This window comes from Homo sapiens, chromosome 17, assembly GCF_000001405.40.
Source record: "Homo sapiens chromosome 17, GRCh38.p14 Primary Assembly".
Lineage (NCBI taxonomy): Eukaryota > Metazoa > Chordata > Mammalia > Primates > Hominidae > Homo > Homo sapiens.
In genome coordinates, this window is record NC_000017.11 from 20,986,383 (window position 1) to 21,008,175 (window position 21,793).

Sequence of the window (21,793 nt, forward strand, 5' to 3'; positions counted from 1 at the left end):
GGTGGTGCATGCCTGTAGTCCCAGCTACTTGGGAGGCTGAGGCAGGAGAATTGCTTGAACCCAGGAGGCAGAGGTTGTTGTGAGCTGAGATTGCACCATTGCACTCCAGCCTGGGCAACAAGAGGGAAACTCCATCAAAAAAAAAAAAAAAAAAAAGGACTTTCTCAAAGAAAATGTATTTAAATGTCTGCACCAATAATTCCAGCATGTGTATGAATAAATATGATATGTCCTTTACAGTGAAAAAAAAAAAAAAGAATGGCTATTGTTAGTCAAAAAACAACAGATGCTGGTGAGGCTACAGAGAAAAATGAACACTTTATACACCGTTGGTGGAATGTAAATTAGTTCAGCCACAAGAAAGCAATTTGGAGATTCCTCAAAGAATTTAAAACAGTTACCATTCAGCACAGCAATCCCATCACTGGGTGTGTATGACCCAAAGGAAAATAATACATCCTACCAAAAGGACACATACACACGTATGTTTGTCACAGCACTGTTCACAATAGCAAAGACATGGAATCAACCTAGGTGCCCATCAGTGGTGGATTGGATAAAGAAAATGTGGTACATACACACAATGGAATACTACACAGCCATGAAAAGAAAAATCATGTTCCTTGCAGCAACATGGATGCAGCTGGAGGCCATTATCCCAAGTGAATTAATGCAAGAACAGAAAACCAAATACCGCATGTTCTCACTTACAAATGGAACCGTAAGCATTGTGTACAGATGGACATAAAGACAGGAACAACAGACACTGGGGCCTACTTGGGGGGAGGCAGGGAGGGGCCAAAGGCTGAAAAACTACCAATCAGGTATTATGCTCACTACCTGGATTTTGCTCTAACACAGCCTCTCCTGAGAGGAAGCACAGATTCACACAGAGGGGGTGTGGATACAGAGGGGCTGAGCCCAGCCACAGATGCGAGGGGCCATGCCTGCCGCCCTGGTGTCTGGCCACCTGCACACCTTCCCTGCATCCAGTGATGCATTTGAAACTTCCCGCCAAACTTGGAACCTTTCTCACCTGCAGTGCAATGGATTCCCCTTTGGTTCATCCTTACCCACCTCACAGATCAAGAGACTTGAGTCTCAAATTTGGAGTGACTCGCTGACAGTCACAGAGAATGCACAGCTGAGTTGGGATTTGAGCACAGTCTGTGGGTTCCAAAGTTTGTCCCCTCTGCAACCGCAAAATGACCCAGTGGCATCCACAGGGCTAGTGTTCCTTGGGCGTGAGCTGTTGCCCCTGGGACAAGGTTAGCCACTTCCTGTGTGTGACCCCCAGTCAAGCCCCCTTCCCAGAGGGCACTGGGCAGAACATCAGATCCTCATCTTGGCTTCAGGGATGGAGCCCCAGGCTGTGAGCGTGGGGGCTGTGTGAGGACATGTTGGTGCCAGTAGGGTCGGCATTACCACACCTCACCCCACATCAGCTGCCACACTTGTGCCATGGCGTGGATTTTGGTGGCTCTGTGACTGTCACTGCCCAGCCCTGTGTTTCTCCAGGGGCCCAGGGCTAAGGTCTGTTCTGACCTCTGATGCCTGCATGGGCTGGTGGGGCAGGAGGGGAGCTTGCTGTGGATTGCAGACACGAAGTACAGAGCTACATGGCCAGGGGAGGGGACCCAGAGGTAGACCTATTTGAGGACAGGGAGCAGAGAACACCATGTGACCAAGTTGTCTAGCTGCACACGCTGGAAGGGCTGACCTGTTCCTCTGGCCCCTTCGTGGGCTCCCTGAATTCTGCTGTCCCGTCTCCAGCCCTGCCAGACCCCACCTCACCCCGACTCCAGGTTTCCCACTGAGAACTGCCACTCCTTAGTGAGACCTGGAACTGTGGTGGGCTTGTTGTGCGTGGGGAGGGAAGACAGTAAGGCAGGTCCTGTCCCAGACTGGTGGAGTTCACCACCTTGTGGAAGGCCAAGCAGTGGACGAGTTACGCAGGTGACACATTCCTCTCAGTGCACGGAGGCCACATAACCCAGCTGCAGGTGAGATGGGGAAGGGGAAGGCTTCCCCAAGGAGGACAGGGCAGGCTGTGGCAGGGGTGTGGAGTGTGGAGCCAGGCCCCTAGTTATGTCCCTTACAAGGTGTGTAGCCTGGAGCAAGTGACTGTCGGTTCTGTGAGGCTGAGGTTGTTCACCTCATGCAGTCGCTGTGAGGATAATCTGGGAGAATACATTTTGAGGGGATCACGTGCTCTGTGCACTGGAACTGCTCATTCAAAAAGCAACCATGGGCCAGGCGCGGTGGCTCACACCAGTAATCCCAGCACTTTGGGAGGTTGCGCCATGTGGATCACCTGAGGTCAGGAGTTTGAGACCAGCCTAGCCAACATGGCGAAACCCCGTCTCTACTAAAAATACCAAAATTAGCCAGGCGTGGTGGTAGGTACTTGAAATCCCAGCTACTTGGGAGACTGAGGCAAGAGAATCACTTGAACCCAGGAGGCGAAGGTTGCAGTGAGCCAAGATCAGGCCATTGCGTTCCAGCCTGGGTGATGAATAAAACTCCGTCTGAAAAAAAAAAAAAAAAAAAAGCAACCATATTGAAACCACACAGTGGGGACAGGGGGTTCCAGGCAGAGGCAACAGCACTTACAGGTGCTGCTAGGAGCAGGGAAGGCTGTGAGGGGCTCTGTGCTGAAGGCTGGGCTAAATCCCTTCCTCTGGGGCTCCCAGCCTGTGGGAGTGTGGGGTTCACTCTACATACAGAAGCAGGAGGGACCCCACCCCAGATCTCCTTTGAAGGTGGAGACACTTCCACACGCTCACCAAGAGGGCACAGAAAGACCTTCCACGCACACAGCAAGAGGGCTGTGAAAGACCTCTACAAGGAAAACTGCAAAACACTGCTGAAAGAAATCACAGATGACACCAGCAAAGGGAGACACATCCCATGCTCATGGATGGGTAGAATCAATTTTTTTTTAGTTATTCCCAAATTTTTATGAGGGATTCACACATATTATGAACACTTAATAAAACCCACCTGTTGCTGTTATTTCCAAATATTTATGAGGGATTCATACATATGAACATTTAATAAAACCCACCTGCTGTTCACACATTGGGCTTCGTGGGGAGAGCAGGGGCAGGCTCCCAAGCTGGACTGAAAATGGCTTGAGATGTTGATCAGGAGAGGAGACTGGCCTGGGGTTCTGTTGTGACGACTCCAGGCTGACGCGAGGAGCTCCCTGTCCAGGCTTGGGGGTAGGTGCAGGGAGCATCTGTGTCTCCCTAAGGGGACAGGGAGCCTGCCTCAGCGACTGGGGGCTGCTCATTTGCCCGGCAGAGGAGGAGGAGGAGCACCAAGGGCACAACACTGTTCCTCCACGTGAGGGTTGCTAAGGACTGAGTTGGGAAGAGCAAGGATTCATGGGTGGCTGGAGATGGCACCAGGAGGGACCAGGTGATGGCTCCATGTGTGAGGCTGGGAGGCCGATGTCCTGCTGGGGGGAGGGGCAGCCACTGGAAGAGGGGTCAGAGCAGGGCTGTGGGGAGAGCCCCTTGTTGCTCCTGGATGATGGTGATGGCAGCAGGGGTCCTATGAAAGGCTGTTTCTGGCAATAATGGGAACCAGAGATGACAAGGACCTGGAAGGGGGACAGAGGAACAGTGCATTGGCATGAGATTAGAACTGGAGGGAGAGGCCCTGTAGTGATCATAATGGCTGTCATCTCACAGGGCTCTTGTGGGGCCTCAGTGACTTGGGGTTTGCCAAGTACAGAACCATGCCCAGGACTGAAAGGTCCACCACCCTGGCTGGATGGGTGCCATCCTAGGACAGGCTGTATTTGCTTCCTGGGGCTGCTGTGACAGGGTCCACATGCTGGGTGCTTAAAATAACACTGATTGATTCTCTCGGGACTGGAGGCCAGAAGTCTGAGATTCCACGGTCAGCAGGGCCCCACTCCCTCTGAAAGTCCAGGGGAGGATCCTTCCCTGCCTCCTCCAGCTTCTGGTGGCTGCCCCAGGCCTCCTGGGCTGGTGGCCACTTCACTCCCATCTCTGTCTCTGTCTTCACATGGCTTCTTTCCTGTGCCTGTGTCTCTTGCCTTCTCTTCTCGTATAGGACACTTGTCACTGGATCTGGGGCCCACCCTAATCCAGGATGATCTCATTTCCAGATCCTTGTATTCATATGTCTGCAAAGAATCTTTTATCCAAATAAGGTCACATGTGCAGGGGGCATACCCTTCGGGTGAGGGGGGGCACCATTCAGCTTACTACATAGGGTGAGGGACAGGGCTGCCTGCCAGGGCAGGTACTTCATAGAAACCAGCTCTGAGTTAGGACCCCGCCCCCATGTGAGGGTGATACCGGCCTTGGGGTCAGCCAGGGCCCCCATGTGGGTTCAGAGTTCTGTGGAGCCTTTCACCTGGAGAGTTTACATTGTGTTGGCCTAGAAGGTGGCAGTTGAAGTCACAGAAATGGAAAAGGTTGTGCAGGGACTGGGAGGTGTAAGGAGAGAAAGGGATAGAAAAGAAGGTCCTATGTGGGGGAATCTGCATTTGAGGGGTCAGAAGAGGAAGAGGGTCCCACAGAGACATGGAGAAAGAGCAGGTGGGGAGGTCAGAGCAGCTCCAGCAGGGCTGTGTCCACAAAGAAAGTTCTAGAAGGCCGTACTTAACAGCACAGAGAAAGGACATCATAAGACACCTACATATGTCCCCAGCTCTGCCACAAGGAGGTCAGAGGATGCTATAAAGGGCCATTTTCAGGTGCCCCCAAGTTGAGGTTGCCCTTGGTGGCTCTGGCCAGGGGCATGGTGGGAGCTGTGAGCTCGGAGCCCTGTGTCACTGCTGGGAGGCTGGGAAAGGCTGACAAACTGGACCCTTCCTCTGCCCTGCTTTTTTCTTAGACGCATCATTTGTCCGTCCCTTCACTCTGGCTCATGGGAACCTCATCAGATACAAATGTGGCAGGGGTGGGGTGTGGGTGGACAGGACCCCCATCTGGAAGAAATCAGAAATGGTCAAGCTGATGCCTGGGGGTTGGAAGCCAGTGCACACTAGGGTCAGGCCAGACATGGGGTGAGCGTGAGCCCCATGCTCACGGGGAGGAAGGACGTGCCAGGGAGCGCCGGCGTGACATGGAGTCATGGTAGCCTTGAAAGCAGAGGCAGCGCTGTCGCCGGTAGGAGCAGGGGTCCCAGGAGCCCGCCTGGATGGCAGCTTCAAGTCAATGCTCCGCTGAGACCTTAGCTCAGCTCTGCCGGGCTGGGAGTTGAGGGATGGAGTCACACTGTTTTTGCTCCAGGAACTGCTCAAGATGTCACTTATTTTAGGTGCTAGAACTAGATGGGGTGGCCCTGGCTGCAGGTCTCCTGGTTTGCATTTCATCTGTGTGTCTTGGGTTGGAAGGGTGCTTTTTCTTTTGTCCCGACTGCACCATGTGCCCTCACAAGGGAGAAGCAGGACGCTCCGGTTTTGCTTCCCGGGGTTGAAGCCAAGGTCCAGGGACCTGCAAAGGCAGGGACAGAACCACAGGGGAGAGGGTGGGCCAGTGTCACAGGGGTGAAGGGCCACCCTAATGAGATGCTGCACAAGATGGGGGGTCCAGGGAGACTTTTTTTTGATGGGCATGATCTGGGTGCTGGGAACGGGCTGAAGTCTGTGTGTCCCTCCTGGTGTACACAGACGGCCTCCTACCACCAGCAGGATGGAGGGTCGCCTTAGAGAGGTGGCCCCAGAAAGACCCAGGGACCCCAGGCCCAAAGGAAGAAAGGAGGTGACACTCTGGAAACCACTTCAGTCAAAGGCCACACACGGAATGGGAGACTTACGCCCAGCCTGCCCTCCTGCCTTTTCCCGAACTTAATACACGTGTGCATCACGCACACACATGCAGATGCGCACACATATGCACGTGTACACACACGTGCATGCACATACGCAGACACCCGGAGGACATAGGGTCCTCTGCAGGGAAGGCCTGAAGGTGTGCACATTTGGAGGTTGTAATGATCTCACAGGAAGGCTGTACCTCACATAGAAAAGCCCCTCTTAAATATTGGCAGCCCACCATGTGTCAGGGACACACCTGAAACGTTCATGGCGCCAAGACCACAGGGAGGGAAGGAGAGATGCTTGCAGAGCAGAAGGACCAGGAAGTGGGGACCACCACGGGGACCTGCAGCCTGGGACCCCCGAGGAGGGTGGCAGAAACCTTGGCCGGGCGAGAGATCCGGCAGCCCCTGCCCGCCCGTGCCCACGTTGCCTCCAGGCTCCCCTTGCTGGCTGGGCCCCCAAGGTGTGAGTGCATGGCCACGGGCTGGAACTTTCTACCCAGGTTCTCTGCCTCCTGCATGTTTGCAGGGACCCTTGCTAATGCCAAGCCCCTCTGTGGAGAGAGAGGGGTATCAGGCCCCACTCTGCAGATGCAGACACTGAGGGCCAAGGCGACTGAATGAAACATCCAGAACCATAGCCCCCTGCCCTCCTGCCCCCTCCCTCTCCCCCGCCAGGCCCACCCCTAAATGACAAGTCCCAGTGCTGCCTAGCAGGCTGGCCCGAGCCTGCGCTGGGAAATGCAGCAGGCTGGGGCAAGTATTTTTGGGTGAGAGATGGCTTTGAAAACAGTTTGAAAAACAAAAGAAAAAGCGTAGAAATAAACTTTATGCCAGCCTGCCTGGTCCTAAGGCCTCAGAAGCTGTGGGTGCTGCCTCCTGGTGGTAAGGCCTACAAACTGCACCTCTGGGACCCTTCCCCCAGGCTTGATTTTCAGACAAGGCTAGAGAATGAGCTTTTTTTTTTTTTTTTTTTTTTTTGACAAAAGCTTGTGACTAGGCCCCTTTGTTCCCAGGAAACAGCAGACAGTGAGCCGCAGGGCAGGGCCTCTCCATGCCGTGAATTCCCGCTTGTCCTTTCTCACATAATCTCAAGTGAGGCTTATTTACAGCTCCTTGTCTGCCTTCCACCGGGGTGGCACTGGAGTGCCTCCCTGGCTATTCTCACCCCACATCTCTTGGAGATCGTTCCCTCTTAGGACACATGGCCTTGCCTCATTGGCTGGAGTGACTGCGTGGTATTCCGTCTCATGAGTGTGTCATGATGCATTTAACCCTTCATCCCCTGTGGATGGAAGGTTAGGCTGGATCCCGTCTTTTGCAACCTGAACAATGTTGGAGAGATACCATTTGTGTGCTGGGGGAGACGCAGCCCTAGAAGTGAAGCTGATGCAGCAAGGGGAGCCAGGGAGGCACATTGTAAATGGTGGCGGGTGGTTCCAAATGGCTCTCGAGAGTACACTCCACCACGAATATGTGAGGTGCCTGTGCTCCCCCCGCCCCCGACGTGACAGGTAGAAACTGATATTTTTCCTAGTTCTAATTTGCATTGATTTTCTTAGGCTAGGGATTTTGAATGACGTGTGTATCCTAAGGGCCAGGCAGGAGCTATGTTTCATTTCCCACAGAAAGCCTCAGATCACTGGCCTGGGCAGAGAGGAATGAGAAGCTGGGGCACCTTCTTCATGTCCTCAAGAGCAGCAAGTCTCTGTTCTGGTCATTCAAACTCAGTGCCCTAAAAATGACCATTATGTGACCTTGCATGGCTCTGTGGGGTGGCGGGGCTCAGCTGGGTGGGTCTTCTGCTGCTCTTGCTTGGGGTCTCTTGAGAAGATGGTCCTGGGGATGAAGCCATTGGAGGCTTGGCTCTGATGCTGTGATGGTCAGGCCTCGCTTCTCCTCCAGGTGATCTCAGGGCCTGTCCCTCTCCATGGGGCCTCTCCACCTGGACGACTTGAGTGGTGCTCAAAGCTCCCAAGGGAGCAAACACCGAGGCTGTCAGGCCTTCTTGAGGCGGAGGCCCAGAGTGGCACAGCCTCACCCCCACGGCACTCTCCTGGAATGAGTCCCAGATAGTCCACAAGGGTGTGATGTTGGGTGACCGTGCTCTGGGCGTGGTGGATCAGCTGCTGGACGGTGAGAGGCACTCCCTGCAGGGTAGGTGGACGGCTGCCCCCAGGGCCTTACACAGCAAGGCCAGGGGACGGCCACCCTGGCCGGTGAGCCCGACTTCCAGGCAAGGCGCCTTCCTTGCATCCCAGCTTGTTTGGAGCCTCCAGGACATCCCTACTGAGGGTCCCACAGGAGCCTGGGTCTGGACAGGGACCCTCTCACCTCAAGTCAGACACCTTTCATCCCCAACAGCAGAGGGACTGATACCTCCCCCTGGCTACCCTCTGTCGCCCGAAGCCAGCCCTGACTTTGTGCAGGCGCCACTCACCTTCCTGAGGGTCCACCTGCCTCCCAGCTGGCTGTGCTCCCAGCCACCCTCCCTGCACATGAATGGGCCAACGAAGTCCAGATAGCAATGTCTGCCCATCACATATCCCCCAGCCTGACCCCATATCCAGCATCCCAGCACCCACCCTGTTCTGCTGGCACCCACCTGCCTCAGCCCTGCTTCGTGGTGTCAGAGGCAGGCCTATCCTCCTGGCACCTCGACCCAGGAAGCTGCTGGGCAGCGCCTCCAGCCAGGGCCCTCCTCCCCTGGGCTGAGGCTGTGTGGTGGGGTCACTGGATGGGAGGGAGGGAGGCCTTGGGGCCCGGAGTACCCTGCCACTACCCAGCAATTCCAGCTGATGCCTCCACATCTTTGGAGTTGGGTCTGATTGGTGATGGGTTGGGGGCTTCTCAGTGTTCTACAGTCCAATACTGCCCAGCTCCGGAGGCTCCTATTGTACCAGGAGCAGGTGTTGCATAAGTGCTTTCTGAAGATCATGAGACACCTGGTGAGTGAACGAAACCCTGGGTCCCATGGGCCAGGGGAGACTCGAGCCCCTCCTGGGGCTGGCAAGAGGCCGCGTCCCAGCCATGGCCTGACCTGGGATGGGGATTCTCCATGAGTTGGAAGTTGGGTTTCCTTTTCTTGCCCCAGAGGATCCAGAGACGCTGGGACCAGGGCTGAGCTCTGGCTAAGCAGGGCTAAGGGAGTGTGTCCACCGGGCGTCGTGCACGGACGTGTTGGGAGACCCCTGGCCACCACCCAGGGTTCTGCTCCTTGAGGAAGGGTCTGCAGAGGGGCCTGAAAAGGGGGATTGCAGGGCAGCTCAGGAGGCCCTGAGTACCTCTGCCTCTCCCTGCAGGGCAAGGAAGGACTGTGCATTGAGTGTTTCATGCTGCGGTGGCTCCTCCAGTGTTTCATTGATGGGGTAAGGAGGCACAGGGAGACCCCAGCCCATGGACACAGTGCCCGGCTGCCCCAGCTCAGGGGTCCAGCTCCACCAGGAGGACGTGGCTCACCCCCAGCCCGTAGGAGGCACAGGCAGGTCCCTGCATGACACACAAACCAGGCCCTGTTTGAGAGGGGGTATCCCATGGCAGAGGCCAGGGCTTAGGCCCAGCTTTATGGGCAGACTGGACCAGGACCCGACTTGGGAGGGCCCAAGGAAGCCCAAAGTCCTCAGGAAGCCCCTCCTTCCAGAAGCAACAGCGCTGCTGAGGTGGGTCCCCCATGAGGAGCTGCAGGACCTTGTCTGACCCTGCTTTATAGGGGGCTCTCATCCCATGGAGAGGTGTTCCCAGCATTCCAGGAGACTGAAACCCCAGGCGGCCCTGCTCAGGCCTCTGAGCCCAGCCCAGAAAGGCAGGTCCTCCCACACTTCCTGTCCCCACAAAATCCTTCGGGCTCACCCTGCAACTGTGGGATATGCTCATCTTGGAGGGCGAGCAGGTACTGTTGGGCATGGCGCATGCATCATTCAAAATACATGGGTAAGTCCTGTGTGCCCGAGGGTGCCAGGGGGAATACACAGGACAGACCCCGGCTGGCCTGAGGGAAGTGTCCTTACACTGTCCCTATGACTCTCTGCTCTGTCTTGAAGGGGGTTCTGGTCTGGTGGGCTGGGCAAGGCACGATGACACTGAGCCCACCCCCCACATGACCCAGATGAAAGTCAGGAGTGTGGTGAGCACTTCCCTGCCTGGCCTTCCCCAGCTGTGGCCTCCTGTGCACAGCTGGACCCCAGGGTGGCCAAGAAGGACCACACACCACCCAGTGGGAGGTGGGCCTGGTGGAAATGGGGTGCAGGCACTGATCCCCCCACAAGGGAATCCTCCTGGCCTGATACCCGCCCTGTCCCTAGAGTGCCTCATGAAGCTTTCCTGGAGCACCATCTGGGAGTTTCAGGAGCGACTTTTTCAGAGCTGGGCCCCGGAGGACAACGTGGTCCTCAGGAACCTTCAAACCTCCGTGAAGGAACTCACAAGGAAACACTGGGACCTGCCACCCCCAGGTGGGCTCCAGCACCAAGTCTCCTCCCAAGTCACCCTCTGGGGCAGTCAGTGGTGGGGAGTGCCCTGGCCCTACCAGCCCTCCTACCTGGCCTTCCTCCTGCACCTCTTCCTCCTCTACTCTAAGAAAGTAAAATGGGTCTGCCACTCCTCAGGGCAGGCACTGAGCGTGTGTGTGCGGGACATGAGGTGCAGACAGGCAGGGGCTGTGGGCAGGACCCCCCAACTTCCCTCCCCCTCTTTCCACATTGTCCCCATCACCCCCTCAAAGGGCCCTGAAGGGCACTGGGGCAGTCAGATCCAGGTGTGGAAGACCCCACCCCTGCCTCCAAGCAGCAGGATCCCTCATTCTTGAGTGCCCCTCCAAGCCTGTCAAGACAACAAGCCAGGAGGACAAGAGAGAATCAGTGTCCCAGATCCAGAGAGGATTTGGGCAGAGGGCACGGGGGGAAGCCCTGACCCAGAGCCAGAACCAAGAGTTCAGCCGGGCATGGGATTTGTCCAGCCCTGGCATGGGGTGGACGGCCTGGAGGGCAGAGGGAAACCCGTGCCCTTCACTTCTCACCCACTGTGGAGACAGACCCCATGCGAGGTGGCAAGGGGGCTGGGTGACAGTGAAGGTCCCTTTCACCTGAGTTCTGAGTCAGGGCTGCTGAACAGCCCTGAGGTGAGGGAGGGCGTGAGGCAGGAAGCCCTGAGCCAGCCTGAAGCCTGGGAGCCGTTTCAGGACCGACCTGAGGTTCCCTGAAAGCTCCCCCACCCCAGGCTGCACACAGCCCTCACCCTGGGATCAGCAGCTTGCAGAGGTGTCCTCAGTGTCAGGCCAGAGGACACCCGGGGACCCCAGGACTCCAGAGGCCCAGGGCTGTGGGCCCAGCCCTGGAGAGGCCCCTGAGGCCTCTGACCCCACCTGTGGGTCAGAGCCTGTCCCCCAGGGCCTGAGTCCCAGGCCCAGAGGGACCTGGCTTCAACTCGAGTTGTCCTAGGAGGACAGGGGCACTGCAGATCTCCAGGTGACCACGCAGGGCACCAGGGCACTGCAAGCCCTGATGCTGTAAGGATTCACATCAGAGAACCTGGGCAAGCCAGGCCAGAGACGCTGAGCCCGTGCAGTGATGAGGATGTGGAGGGCTGGCTCAAGGGGGTCAACAGCTGTGAACACTGCTGCCTCTTCCCGGCCTCATTGTTGCAGTGCAGGCAGTCTGCACCCCGGAGCCTGGCCCAACAGCGCCCCGAGTGCCCTAGTCCACTATGCCAACATGGTACCCGGAGGCTTCGAGGCCCTGCCTGCTGCACCACCCGCCTCCTGGAGGCCTTGTTCTGCAGCCTAGCCCCTGCCGCAGCCACAGCAGGCACCACTGCCAAGTGCCTTCCAGCCGGGCTTCCCAGAGGACAGAGGCATCCTGCAGTCATTGCCTCAGCAGCTCACACTGTGAAGATAGTTTCATCCACATTCCCATGTTCCCACCAAAGAGAATCCCTGCAGAGGGTGCTCTTGATCCTGCGGTGGGGAAAACAGCACACTAGGTGGACTCAGCTCCTTTCCCTGGCCACCATGATTGCTGGATGGGCCCACAAAGCAGCCATCAGACAGGCATGTTGGGGAAGAGCCTAAGCAATCCTGCTTGTTCCCTGACCAGACCGACACCACTGCCGAGTGCCCCATCTGCTGATGAGAGATTTGGTGTCGATCCCTGGACTGGCACCATTTCCCAGGAGGAGCGGCTGGCTACCTGTGGGCAGGCTGCCCACACTGTGGAGAGGGCTGAGATCGGCCTTCACTACGGGGAGCCCCTACCTGGACATAGACTCGCCAGCCCTGCCTGTTGCCATCACAGCAGCCCACATGGCATTGCTTGTGACCAGGGTACCCCATTCACAGTGACGGACATGCAGCAGTGGCCCTTGACTAGGGAACTAACTCTTCTCGCTACGTCACCCACCGCCTGGAAGCAACTGGACTTAGGATCGCTGTTATGCTGAAGTGGTGAGGTTGTCTTACAAGATGAATTTTATCCTTTCTACTGGAAGCCAGTGTATGGTGATGACTCCCCCACAACCAGAAGGTGTAGTTCTGAGTGAAGGTGTGAAAGTGGACGATGTTCAGTGTTGCACCGAATGTCTCAGTCACAAAGTTTTCCTATTGCCTGTCCTGGAGAAATGGAACTTTGCTGGTTGGAAGGTCTTAGGACCCAGGAAGAGTGAAGCTTCCCCCAGGGGAACACAACAATGGTTCTATTTAATATGAGGAGACAGGACTAAGTCTGAAACCTCGGGGCATTCTCTGGTGTTCTTGAGTGTTTCCATGTAAAGGAAGTCAAGTAACTTGCCACAAAGCTTTGCCACAGAAGCATCTGAAAAAGGAGGGGGCAGAACTATTCAGAACTCAGAGGTTTCAGAACCAAAGATGAGGCCGAGAAGATTCCTGACCCGCTGAGGGCAAGGGAAGTATGTGGGGGCGGCTGGGAGAGGATGTTATAGAGTCCGCCATGGCCTCGTGACCTGTCACAGAACCGTGCACTTTAATAGCTGTGCACATCTTCTCTGCACTGATTATAGTATTTCTTTGCCTTTGCTACTCTCCACACAGGGAGCTTGCTACAAAATGCACATAACCACAGCCCGGGTCTTGCAATCCAAGCCTGGCAAGGATTCAGCATGTCAAGGGCTTCAGGTCTGAAGGTCCATGGCTGTCCTGAATCCTGGATATCACCTTCTTGCCCAAAAAAGGAGGGACGAGGCTCAAACCGCAGCAGGCCACTCACAGAAAGGGACGAAACGTTGAGTGCGTGGCCTCCCTGACACCCAGACAAGACTTTGGGCCCAAAGCCAGGCTGCAGCTCTGGCCACTGACTCAGACCAGGGACGCCCCCATGCAGGCCGGTGTCCCCTGGCCGCTCTTCTCCCTCCTGCCACCCTCTCTTCGGCTGCTTGTGTCAATAAAAGGAAAACTGGCCAGTTCTCAGAGAAAATGTAGCTTTATTATGACATAGGAGAGACTACAAAGCACTGGGGGGGAGGAGGAGTGACACAGCTCCTCAAAATGGAAGGGGAAAGGAAGAGTAAACATCTTGGTAAATAAAGTCTCCAACCACAGCACAGTCATTGGAATTTTTTTCTTCATTTTTATTTTCAAACTTACAGTAAACAAAACAATCACTTAAATTGTCAAAAGAACAGCAATTTTACACAATGAAGAGCATACACACCAAGCCAAAATACAATAGCACTCAGGTCTATATGTTGCAGTGGTGCTGGCGCTGGAGGGAATGCCCAGGGAGGCTGCAGTGCTCACCACGAAGCCCAGGTCCACGGAGGGAGCCAAGGTCCACAGAGGGCCCCGGGGCCAGAGGGAGGCCGCCCACACTCCCAGCACATCACCTGCCTCAAAGCACTCCCTTCAGGCATCTGAAGAGGGAAAGGCCATGTGTCTTCCTGGGAGGCACTGAAAGGCCAGCCAGCATCTCCAAAATGCAGGCCATTTTAACACTGCTGTGAATGTGCTGGGGTCACCAAGGGGGCCCCTTAGTGGTCAGATGCACTTTGTCACAATGTACACCTACATGGGGTGATTACTAGGCAACGGGAGGTTTCCTGAATTTCACAGCCAGATGGGGAGCTAAAAGAAATTCCTGAACCCAACGCGTAAATATTTTGTTCTGACAAAGTAAATTCACAAGAACACATCAAACACAAGACCTAATGCAAGGGGCAGTGCCAGGGCCGCCGCCGCCTCCTGTGAGCAGCTCTTCAGCAGCAGGCATCAGGTAACTGCTTAGAACGGCAATGCCACAGTGGAATAAGGGGGACTAACTTGGATACGAAAGTTTAGAATAATGCCCACCAAAAATCCATGTGACTCCATCTCTCTTCCCAGTTCTAATGTTCTCAGAACAGCAGCCACCCCTGAATGCAAGTGGAGACAGGAAGGGGACTAGGGGTTGGCCGGCGGGAGGGGAGGCAGGGTCTGGCCAAACCCAGGCAGCTGCCAGAAAGCCTTCTGCACTCCGCAAGACACCCCAGTAAACTGGGGCGTCCCAAGGTGGCAAGCCTTCATGAAGGCACTGCCCAGCTCACAATCCTGTGGGCCAACTTCAGTCAACTCTCCTTTCCATTAGATTTGTTCCTAATTAAAAGACCACTCATAGGCCAGGTGCGGTGGCTCACGCCTATAATCCCAGCACTTTGGGACGCTGAGGTGGGTGGATCGCCTGAGGTCAGGAGTTTGAGACATGGTGAAACCCCATCTCTACTAAAAATACAAAAATTAGCCTGGCGTGGTGGTGCATGCCTGTAGTCCCAGCTACTTGGGAGGCTGCGGCACGAGAACTGCTTGAACCCAGGAGGTGGAGGTTGCAGTGAGCCGAGACTGTGCCACTCACTCCAGCCTGGGCAACAAACTCCATCTCAAAAAAAAAAAAAAAAAGACTGCACATCCTCAAAGGAGATCTTCAAAGCACTGTCACCCAAACAGCAGAACTTGGTCACATGGGACCATTTCTGAAAATCTCGGCCCATCTCTGTTTCTCTGGTAATTCATTTTATAAAACATGCTTCCATGTGAATTCTTTAAGTGCAGAAAAACAACAGAAAATGAACAGAGCACGTGGGCAAGAAACCGCATCCCTCAGGCTTCTGCCACACATGATGGTTCTGCGGGCTGTGATTGCCAAGTCCTGTGTTTTCCACACTGAGCAGTGAGTAGCAGCTGCCACTGTCACTACCCCCTCCCCAGCCCAGCCAGCTAAGGAGCTGGGTCTGGTCCCCACCAGCTTCTCCATGGCCTGTGAGCTAAGAATAGGTTTCACGTTTTTAAATAGTTAAAAAAAAAATCTAAGTTTCTTGACACAGAACAATATATGTCATTCAGATTTCTGTGTCTAAAAGTTGTACTAGACACAGCCACATCTCTGTACTATTTATGGCAGAGACCATACAGCCCACAGAGCCAACAGTGTTTACTCCCTGGCTGTCTATGAAAACATCTGCCCACCGCTGAGACAGATGATCCTGTTCCTGCAGGACTGAAGAAGCCTCAGTTCAGATGCTGCTGGGGCTCCTGGGACAAGCACAGCCCGAGACACACTTGCTTCATAAACTGTATTTCAGTACTTTTCCTCCCCCTTGTCCCTAGTTTCTAATTTCTCAGTGGACAAATGGACAAACCATCTCTGTTTGAATTTGAATACACAGATACATGCAAGATATCTTACAAGAAACAATGCACATCCTTCTACTTTCTCTTTCAGCTCTGCTGACAAGCTCAATCACGGTGTCATTTTACTGCCACCACGCCCGAAAGTACACCAAATGTAAAGCAGAGGCAGACGAGACAAGATGCAGGCTCCACCAGAGGCCACTCCAGCTTCGCGACCAACACCCTTGGCTGCCAGGCAGCGGTAGCCAGGCAATGGGATAGAAGGCAAAGAAAATACGAGGGACAGAACCCATCAGACACCGGCAGACACTGCATTTACTCCAGACTGAGATGACAGACACACCGTATGAGCTGCAGCACAACTCTCCTCCGCTGCGCCCACTGCCAGCCACCAGCAGACACCAAGGCACCCAGAGGAGCCAGGCACACAGGGCGGGCAGCAACATAAACGGCACCCATTAAAAAGCAAGACTCGCTCTTGAGACTAAAGGAGAAGTTACCTAAATTTCTGTATAAACTCAGTAATTCATTCACTTTACTAGTATTACATTTATGAAATTCACCTTTGTGGAAAAAGGAGCGGGAGAGGGATAAGAAAATGCCTGTTTCTAGAAAACCGCGAGATGCTTCCACGTGCAGCTTGATGCTGTTACCTGCAGAACAGACACGCTTGAAAACGCGACGTAGTGTCCGTACTTCCGAAGCTAGGAGGCTGCTTCACAGCCGCTGAGAAAATGGAGGTGAAGAGTTCCATACTCTCCGTATTTTAACACTAAAACACCAACAGAAAGGCATCTGCAAGGCCCTCTGTCCCGCACACTACACCTCTGTGTCCAGCTTACTGCTTTCATGGACCCATAATCTTACAGCAGGTAGGGGCCTTTCCACACCGAGTGCTGGGGAACGCCAGGCAGCGGTCACTCTGTGCTGTGAGGCCCCCGTTGCACCCCCATGTCATGACACAAGAGATGTTCTGGTGACGGGTGTACGCTGCTCCTCCCACCCAGAGCACACCCCTCATCTCATCCATCTTCAAAGCAGCTCCAGGAGCCTCCCCGTCCGTGTGGTCCATCCCGACCCGATGGGTCCCAGGTGCAGAGGGGCCACATCTGCATGGGAGGTGGTGTCACCAGGCCGGGGAGGCGGCGGGAGACTTGGGGGAGGGGGGGGCCAGGGAGGATCACTTTGTGAGGCTTGCCAATGCATTGCCTTTGTTTTTCTGACCAGCTGCAGATAAGGCTACTCGTATTCCAGGAACTGTTTGTGATAGAACAGCAAGTACCTGTGGAGGCAGAGAGAGGGAGGAGGCTCACCTCTAACTCCTAAGACAGGAGCCAGAACAACCCACCCTACACAAAAGCCTACGTGCTCTGCGCTCTGCACAGGTCGGCCAGGCCCGAGTTGATGGTTTTGGCTTTTTAGTCCGCAAGGAGGAAAGAGTGCTTCACTGGCTGGTGGCACTGGCCCTGCCCATCTCTGCAGCCCGACCACCACCCCCACCTGCCACGAGGTCACCCATTGCCTCACCCAACCTCCCACAGCCTCTCCCCCACTTGTGACAGCCCCACCCTTGTGCAGAGCCCACTGTTTTCAAGTGGCTCCGTCCAGATCCACCTCATCGCCCTGAAGGCTGTCCTTTATCCCAGATTCTTCCAAATAAAACCTCTCAAGAGGGCTTGGCTTCCGTGTTGCTCAGAATGTGAAGTGCAAAGCCCTCAGGGAGTTCATGGCAGCTGGGGTCCCCCTGACCCCTGGAGGGTCAACAGGTTTCTCTATGCCATGAAGGAATGAAACTGGAAAGGAGAGGAGCTGATAAAGAACTGATGTGGGCCGGGCCCGGTGGCTCATGCCTGTAATTCTAACACTTTGGGAGGCCAAGGCAGGAGGATTGCCTGAAGTCAGGAGTTTGAAACCAGCCTGGTCAACATGGTGAAACCCCATCTCTACTAAAATACAAAAGTAGGCAGGCGTGATGGTGCATGCCTATAATCCCAGCTACTTGGGAGGCTGAGGCAGGAGACTGACTTGAACCTGGGAGGCAGAGGGTGCAGTGAGCTGAGATCATGCCATTGCACTCCAGCCTGGGCAACAAGAGCGAAACTCCGTCTCAAAAAAAAAAAAAAAAAAAAAAAGAACTGATGTGTTCAGTTCACGCAGTTAAAAAACAACTGCTCTGACGTTCTCTGTGCTAAGGGAATGCCTCCAGAGAGGGCCTTTGCTCAGGCACCTCTTCTCCCACCTGAGCACCCATCGAGGCTGGCATCCTATCCAGAACAGGCTTCATTACTTCGGCAAATGAAGGTCAACACCTTCGAGTGGTTCTAGGCTCAGACATGGGCTAGTCTCAGCTATACCGGAGGGGAAGCACCGTAGCCACCGTAGGGCCTTCCTCCCACCCCACAGGACGCACCCTTCGCTGTCCAGGACGTCCTTGATGCTGGCCTTGGTGATGATGGCATCGTCACACTTGAACCACTGGTCTTTGTGCTGCCGGATAAAGCTGGTGTAGTGGCCACTCTCCAAGGTCCCTTGATGGTTAACAACAGCAAACAGGGAATACCTAGTGCAGGAGCAAAGGAGAGGGAGGGCGCAGGTGACTTGATGCCGTCACTTGAGGTCATCACCATCAGAAACCAGGCAGCCCAGGCAGGGAGCGGGAGGCCTGTGGGCCTGTCAACCCCCAGGGCCTCAGGCTGATGCACAGGAGGCTGCAGGAACTAAGGGAGCCTGGTCACCCCCCTTGGCTCTAGCCCGGGTCCAGGCGCTTCCTGGAACTCCATCTAGTGGGAGTGGTGACTGCAGTCAGCAGTGGGGATCCTGGAACACCCCAGCCTTTCATACTTTCTACAACCCCAAGGCAAGAAGAATGAACACCGAGCTTTCCAGATGGAACCTCCCTCCTGCCAGAGGCCAAGAGTGGGGCTGGGCTCCTCCAACAGGAGGGAGCATTTGTGGCACCACGTGGAGCGGCCTTTCCTAGTGGAGCTGCGGGCAGCCAATAGTGGAGCTGCGGGCAGCCAAGCGGGAAGCAGGTCAGTGGCGGGGGATCCGCTGGGCGCCCTACAAGGCAGACAGGAGCCCACCCCCAGCTCTTGGCCAGAGGCCCTGGACACCCACACCGCTAAGCACCACTTACTTGTTGTCATTGTTGAGACTGTCCGTGGGCTGCTGGTACTGTCCATTCATCCTGCTCTCTTTGCTGTAACAGACAACGGCAGGATTCAGCATCATTAAAATCATCAGGCCCAGAGACACAAGGCTCTCGTGAAACCAACACTTATCCAAGCTTGACCATGCAGATGCTGCACCGAGGTGCACTTTATGCTTCAGGCAGAAATCTCCCCATGTTTCGTGAGGACACTGACGCTCAAGCTGTGGAGGCCCCTGCCTCAGAGCACACCTGGGTCCTGAGGCCACCTGGCGTGGCCCCTGGTTCTTCCAAGGTGGGTCCTGAATAGGGCTGGTAATGGGAGCTGGATCTGGAGGAATGTGAGTTTGGTTTGTGACAAAGCAGATGGTGAAGGTGCTCTTCCTCCCACATGTAAAGGGTTAGCTTGAAAGGGTACGCTGAATCCATTCTACAACCTAGGCAGGTGCCTCCTCAAAAGGGACAAAGATTGCTGCTCATTATTTCATGACCAGCACCTCCCCTGGTGAGATGGGGGAGAGGAGTGCTGGGAACAGGAAGCCATGCACATTATTTACTGCATTTTCCTACAGCTGTGTTTGGCAGGAAACACCAAGATCTTTGAGACCCTGACCTTAGAACAGTACTGTCACCTCCCTCAGTACGTGACCATCGTGGTCAGACTGATGATATGGAGCTCTGACTCTGGTCTTGTTTTATTCAGGAGGTCATCTGTGTGCCACAGGGGTGGGACAGCCATGAGAGGACACCAGGAAGAGGCCGCTAACTACCAAAAAGCAACATGCTTTCCACGGTGCTGGGGCTGGGACTGTGGCCACCAAAAAATAACACCCTGCAAATAACAACATCCACGTCTCAACCCTCAGAACCTGAGACTGGGACCTCATTTGTAAAACCAGTCTTTGCAGAGACTCAAAGTAAAGATGTTGAGATGAGATCCTCCTGGATGATCTGCCTAGGTCCTAAAGCCAATGACCACGGTCATGACAGAGAAGCAGAGGGAACTGGACACAGAGTCAGGGGAGCTGGCCATGTGACCCGGAAGCCAGGGGAGTGACAGCCACAGAAGGAACACGTGGAACCACCAGCAGCTGGAGGCGGTGAGGAATGGAATCCCCAAGACCCTTGTAGGACATGGAGCCCTGCCAACACCTTGATTTCAGATTTCCAACCTCTAGAACTGTGAGGAAATTAATTTTAAGCCGCCAGGTTTTTGGTCATTTGTCACAGAACCACAGGAAACTCCTATGTGTCTCATGCATTAGTAAGCAGCTGAATTCCAAGTACCCCAGAATAGGCAGATTTGAAAAGGAAAATGCAATCTACAACTGCAAAACCAACTATGTCTGCCTGTACTTCAACATCTGTTCCACGAACTAAAATGTTGCCTTCTCGCTGTGATCCCACCTTGAGGACTTTGCCGGTTTGAAAGTGGATTGATAATTGTTGAGAAATTCAAAACAAAAACAGGGTATCTGATGAAAAACAACTCATTAACATGTGCTGTATCTTAAGATCAGGATAAACAGATTTGGGGAAGGTGGGGTTTATATTAGTATCGACAGTCATTTTTTTTTTTTTTTTTAGACGTAGTCTCGTTCTGTCACCAGGCTGGAGTGCAGTGGCGCGATCTTGGCTCACTGCAACCTCCACCTCCTGGGTTCAAGCGATTCTCCTGCCTCAGCCTCCCAAATAGCTGGGACTACAGGTGCCTGCCACCACACCCAGCTAATTTTTGTATTTTTAGTAGAGACGGGGTTTCACCATGTTGGCCATGATGGTCTCAATCTGTTGACCTCATGATCTGCCCGCTTCGACCTCCTGAAGTGCTGGGATTACAGGCGGGAGCCACTGCACCCGGCCAACAGTCATCTTAATAGGAGCTCCGAGCTGGATTCCTGTCCTGATAGGATCACAGCCCCTCAGGACACAGAACGGGCCTACAACCCCACATACCTGGAGGCCATGAAAGGGGTCATGTCCAGCTCCAGGGGGAAGGACACATACGTGGTGATCTTCCGCCGCAGCTTGGCTGAGTGTTCAAATCGCTGCAGAAATAGGAAGGGGACAGAGGGAAGAGGAAAGAAGATCAGAAATGTCACTGGAAGCTTCAGGGCCTTCTTCTGATGACAGGTGTCTGTGTTATCTCTTTTGTATTTTATTGAACTGCCTTGTAGCTACATCTAGAATTACAGATTCAAAAACACAGTGGCAATCCACCCAAGTCCTCATTTACAGGGTTCAAGTCTTCAAATGATGGGACTGTTCAGTGGTAACACCAAGGGTACAAAAAGTAATCTTACAGCAAACCCAGCAAAGCACAGAAAACAAAACAAAGATCCGTGGCCCATGGCAGCAAAAATGAACAAATTGTTCCTTTCACCAGACAGAAGACAGTCCTTTGCCTAGATCAGGAGTCACCCATTCCAGCCAGCAAGCTAGGAATGGGCGTTTTCCATGTTTAAAGGGTGGTGAAATGAAACAAAGAACATGTAACAGAGAATCGTATGATCGCACGCAGCCTGTGGAGCTCGACATCTTCAGTTATCTGGGCCTTTAGAGAAAGAGCTTGCCAACTCCTGGACCAGATCTGCATGCTGAGGGCCTTTGTCTTAAAATAAAACAGAAAACCTGAGGAGGGGGTAGCTGGAGGAATGGTAGAAGTAATAAAAACTTCACAACCACTCTGCTCCCAAGAAAACTCACATTCTACTTTCACTGCGAAGCCACTGATTTTGTTTACCGCAGCACAGACAAAAGGACAATTCACAGATGGGAGGACAATTCCCTCACACCCTCCCTTCCTCGGTGTTCTTCCTGCTTGCTGCAATTATAAAAAATGTAACTGCACAGCAAACCAAAAGGCTGAGGACCGTACTGTGGACTAAAAACTAAGTCTGCCATTAGAGTTGGCTTTCTGGAAAACTTACTTTGAGATGAAAACAGGCTACGATGGGCAGTTTCTTCATAGTGAGCTGCTTTGTGGACTCCTGGTAGCTATGGCAACCGCTGCACTTGATCTTGGCGCTGCTGCCCAAGTGCTCTGGTCTGGTGAATCTACAGGCGTTCAAAAAAGACAGGAGCGGTAAGGGAGATGCAAGAGACAGAAAAATGAGAGGAAAGAGGTATTTTATCTCTTTCATTGGGTTGATTTCCCTACCAAAAACATACACTTACAACTAAAAATGAAACAATGAAAAAAAGAGAAAATGTTGTCCACCTTTGCTGCCTGTCTC

The 21,793-nt window shown here is 54.1% G+C and overlaps 2 protein-coding genes across 16 annotated transcripts in view, besides 1 other annotated feature; one reads left to right on the plus strand and one right to left on the minus strand.

The window, feature by feature from the left end:
* Nucleotides 1-13,404, plus strand: part of LOC124900389 (uncharacterized) — a 61,221-nt gene extending 47,817 nt beyond the window's left edge. For 6 of the 13 annotated variants that reach the window (XM_047437235.1, XM_047437240.1, XM_047437233.1 and 3 more), the window contains 3 exons: nucleotides 7,708-9,170; nucleotides 9,443-10,253; nucleotides 11,238-13,404. In XM_047437235.1, the coding sequence (XP_047293191.1) occupies nucleotides 9,899-10,253; nucleotides 11,238-11,866 (984 nt within the window). In that variant the 5' untranslated portion in view covers nucleotides 7,708-9,170; nucleotides 9,443-9,898 and the 3' untranslated portion in view covers nucleotides 11,867-13,404. The remainder of the gene's footprint in view (nucleotides 1-7,707; nucleotides 9,171-9,442; nucleotides 10,254-11,237) is intronic. The other 7 variants (XM_047437245.1, XM_047437236.1, XM_047437238.1 and 4 more) reach the window with 7 other exon arrangements.
* Nucleotides 11,384-12,201: an enhancer, noted in NCBI's record as "H3K27ac-H3K4me1 hESC enhancer chr17:20901079-20901896 (GRCh37/hg19 assembly coordinates)". NCBI's record gives its function as "activates a minimal SCP1, AML or CMV promoter by ChIP-STARR-seq in primed H9 embryonic stem cells {active_cell/tissue: H9 hESC(primed)}" and the evidence as "EXISTENCE:reporter gene assay evidence [ECO:0000049][PMID:30033119]".
* The window catches only part of USP22 (ubiquitin specific peptidase 22), a 43,824-nt gene continuing 35,244 nt past the window's right edge, over nucleotides 13,214-21,793 (minus strand). For all 3 annotated transcript variants that reach the window (XM_005256575.3, XM_047435703.1, NM_015276.2), the window contains 5 exons: nucleotides 21,488-21,614; nucleotides 20,514-20,605; nucleotides 18,546-18,608; nucleotides 17,820-17,969; nucleotides 13,214-16,691 (listed from right to left, as the gene is read on the minus strand). In XM_005256575.3, coding sequence (XP_005256632.1) covers nucleotides 16,649-16,691; nucleotides 17,820-17,969; nucleotides 18,546-18,608; nucleotides 20,514-20,605; nucleotides 21,488-21,614 — 475 coding nt within the window. In that variant the 3' untranslated portion in view covers nucleotides 13,214-16,648. The remainder of the gene's footprint in view (nucleotides 16,692-17,819; nucleotides 17,970-18,545; nucleotides 18,609-20,513; nucleotides 20,606-21,487; nucleotides 21,615-21,793) is intronic.